Here is a 3921-nt window from a genome sequence, read left to right on the forward strand (position 1 = left end):
ATAAACAGAAAAAAATAAAAAGAGGCAAGCCTTGAGGCAGTTTCTCTGTGTTTCTGTGTCTTTGTCTCAGATATCATAAGGGTCCTGGTATCTCTCTGTCTTTGCTCTTTCAGATTCTTCTTTGCTGATTGGCTACCTCTGCTTATGCCTGGTCTCTGCTCTCCTAACTTCAGCTTGAGCATGGCTTTGCTCAAGACACTGTGTTGGCTCTGGTCTCACTTCTAGGTGACCATCCAGTTTAACTTTGCGTACCTCAACTACTCATTCCTGGGAGAGGACTCTGGCTCTGCTTTGACCAGAGTTCCTAGCAGATATGGTGTGAAGGGAGGTCCTATACCAAAATATGACCATGTGTGCTTACCTTTCACACAGGCCTAATGGTGATGGCTGACTACTGCAAGGATAGAAGGAATCTGGTCAGCGTGGTTGCTGTCTTCCTTCTCTTCTTGCCAATCCGCATGATACAGACATGTAAATGAGAAGGTAATATGTAAAGGTAATATGAGAAGATAATATGTAGTGTGTGGTAGGCAGTCTCCAAAATGGCCTCACAATGATCCACATCTCCTGGGATTCATGTCCTTGTGTAATCTCCTCTCCCAGAGTGTGGGCTGGACCTAGTGGTTGACTTCTACTAAGCAGACTGTGAGAAAAGTAATAAGATGTCACTTCTGAGTTAGGCTCCCAAAAGACTATGGCTTCCATCTTCTGTGCTCTCTCTTACTCTCTTGCTTGCTTGGATGGAACAAATGCCATGTTGTGAGCTGCCCTGTGGAGAGGCCCATGTGACAGGAACTAGGGGAGGCCTCTGGCCAACAGCCAGCATGGAACAGAAGCCTTGGTCCAACATCTGCAGGAAAATCAATTCTGCCTGTAACCACGAGTCAACTTAGGAGGCAGATGTTCCCCAGTTGAGCCTTGAGATGACTGCAGCTTATCTCAGGTGAGATACCCAGCCAAGCTGTGCCCAAATTCCTGACCCACAGATAATGTGAGATACTAAATGTTGGTTTTTTTATGCCACCAAGTTTTGGAGGTAATTTATTACATGGCAATAGATAACAAATACATGGTCTCCCCAGATAATACTGTATTATTATTATTTATTATTATTATTTTTGAAACAGGATCTCACTCTGTCACCTAGGCTGGAGTGCAGTGGCATGATCACAGCACACTGCAGCCTTGACCTCATGGGTTCACCGAGTAACTGGGACTATATAACGCTGTTTTGTGAAGCCCAGGTTCCCTTCAAAACAACTTGTAAGAGGTTATGTGACCCAAGAAGCTATTCTGAATAACTTGTTTAGGTCAAAGTAACAGTCTCTTCTAGCATAGTCGGCGAGCTCAAGTGCAGCCACCATGCCTCCTGTATGGCCAGTTGGACAGGAGGAGTTAGGTTCTAACAGTGACAGCGTAGCTGTATTAAATGCAAACAGAAACGGCTTCATCCTGGAGAATCCCAGAGGACAGTGAAATGTTTCAACCTGTGGTGTCATATCTGAGACGTGGAGAGGGTTATACCTGGTGATTCTAGTGTCCGTTTAAACTCCAAATGACAATGAACCTAAATATGTGCTGATGAGATGCCAAGCCCCTATGCCAGTGTTCCAGAGAGCTGATGTGGACCACAGGGGAAGCCTCTGCCTTCTGGAACATCCCTGGGATGAAAGTTTAGGCATGGGATGCTGTTACATCTCAGTCTCGCTGAAAACATTATTAGGGCTCAGAAGTCTAGAGAGCATTGCAGTGGTCCAGCCACTTCTACAAACTCCATTTCATAGGGAAAGCATTTCAGGAGCTCTCCAGAAACCAAGACTCCTCAAAGTCCTGTGTCCTACAGCAGGTTCCACAGATGGATTAGGAAGTTCTTTTGTTGGGGAATTAGCCCACAGTCAGAGAGCATAGTTTCCTGCTGCTTCTGTCCCCAGGGCAGGGTTTTCCCTAAGCATCCTTGAATACCAAGAAAATGCTTGTTTCTCAATTCCCACTCCTGGTTTTTGGCCTCCATTTTTACAAAGCGAATGTATCTAACGCCTTCCTCTTTTGCACCCTTATCTGCCTCATGTCATAGGTTTACCTTTTCTTCATCTGTGTCCTTCCTTAGATCTTTGGGTTGCATTCCAGTGACCATACACATGCGAAATACTTGAATACAGTTTTATTGACACAAACATCCTGTTGCCACAGAAAGAATTGTGAAGAAATTATATGTACTGTATCAGGAGGGACTTTTTCTTTGATCTTTCAAAAGCAGAACTCCTCAGGGTGCTGTACATAACCTTTAGCCTGGAAGCCTCTTCCTTATGAGCCATGAAAGACATCTCCCTTTCCTGGCCACACATCCTCCCACCCAGAATTCAGTGGCATCACAGCCCAAGCATGATGGATGCTGAGCTGATGAGACAGGGCAGGGTCTGGCCCAGCCACAGCCATGGTTGTTCAGTATGCAGAGGACAAGGTGGTAGTCTCAGTACATGAAAAAGACTGTGAATGGAAAAGTGTGCTTTTGGAGGGATGGTGAGTAAGGGAAGAAAGAGAATTGAGAAAAGGGACAGCTATTGTGTCTGATTTTCAAGGTTACCTGTTGAGATTGGGCTGCAGCTCCCTTATGGCCTGGAAAAGCAATTCCTTTCCAATAGCTTTATAATAAAGAAGAAAGACCCTTTTGTTAACAATACCTTGTATTTATCTCATGTCTTTCTCCAGAGAAGCTGCAAGTGCTTCAGAGATTTTATCTTTATAAAAAGCTGATAAGTAGGTGTGTAGACCTCCTGGTGAACCCAGCCCCGCTGCCCCTGATCCAATCAGTTTGTTTGCAGTCCTCTCACTTCTGGTGATGATGATTAACTTAGGTGGGTCTGAGATCACTCTTGCAGTGAGTGCCATATGCCATGGTACAGAAGAGCCCATTTCCACCCAGGATCCTTCAGTGTCTCTTGTTCACCAGTGCCCCCAGCCAGAATCCTGGCCCAGCTGTCTTAAATTAAGGGGACTTTATTCAAAGGAACTGAGAGTATTTCACGAGAGTCATGGCCCATGAAAATAGCTGAGCCTTATGAAGGTCTAGACCTGTGCCTGAAAGCCATCATTCTCCCTCCTTCTGCTTTGGGGTCACATGGTTTCTTGGATCTGCCCTTCTCTGTGTGCTTCCTTCCTTCCCCTGCTTCTCTTTAGAGACCCCTTCTCTGCTCTCCTCTGACTACGTGGTCTCTAAATGGCAGGCTTGTCACTTGAGTTTTAAGTTTCAGGGCAGGTGACTCATTTAGTCTGGTCATCCTATAAGAGGAAACCAATTGGTTTAGTGTGGATCTGGTGTCTACCATGGTCCAGTCTGTTCTAGCTGGGAGGGACAGGACTGGTAGTAGGAAGGGCTTTCTTCTCCAGGATTGTGGCTATGCTTAGACTGTCCCCTTTGCTTGGAATGGCCCTAGCCTCGCCTCCCAGATGATCCTTAGCGCATGTATATTTTTTCTGAGAGGCATCCCTGTCACTTTCCTTCCCCTGTCTGCTCTGCACAACTTGTGAATCCCTCTACTCCTCCACCATTTTATAACTAGTTGCCTATTTGTGCACTGTATTCCCTTTCATGCTAGCCGGAGAGTGACTTGAGGACAGGCCTTTTGGTCTCTCTCTCTTTTTTTGTATCTTGAATGCTATCAGAATGCTCAGTAAATATTTGTTGAGTGAATGAATGCATGAAAAACAATATATCTCTTCAAAGACTTCACACTTCTTTGTCTTTATGCTAATATTTTGTTAGTAGCAGAAGAAATTTATTCCTTTTTATTTTTATTATTTATTTTCTTTCTTTTCTTTTCTTTCTTTCTTTTTTTTTTTTTTTTACGAGATAGAGTCTCATTCTGTAGCCGAGGCTGGAGTGCAGTGGTGCAATCATAACTCACTGCAGCTTTGAACTCC

At 44.6% G+C, this 3921-nt stretch overlaps 1 annotated feature.

The window, feature by feature from the left end:
• Positions 1625 to 2141: an enhancer, noted in NCBI's record as "NANOG hESC enhancer chr7:131476999-131477515 (GRCh37/hg19 assembly coordinates)". NCBI's record gives its function as "activates a minimal SCP1, AML or CMV promoter by ChIP-STARR-seq in naive H9 embryonic stem cells {active_cell/tissue: H9 hESC(naive)}" and the evidence as "EXISTENCE:reporter gene assay evidence [ECO:0000049][PMID:30033119]".

This window comes from Homo sapiens, chromosome 7, assembly GCF_000001405.40.
Source record: "Homo sapiens chromosome 7, GRCh38.p14 Primary Assembly".
NCBI classification, from domain to species: Eukaryota; Metazoa; Chordata; class Mammalia; order Primates; family Hominidae; genus Homo; species Homo sapiens.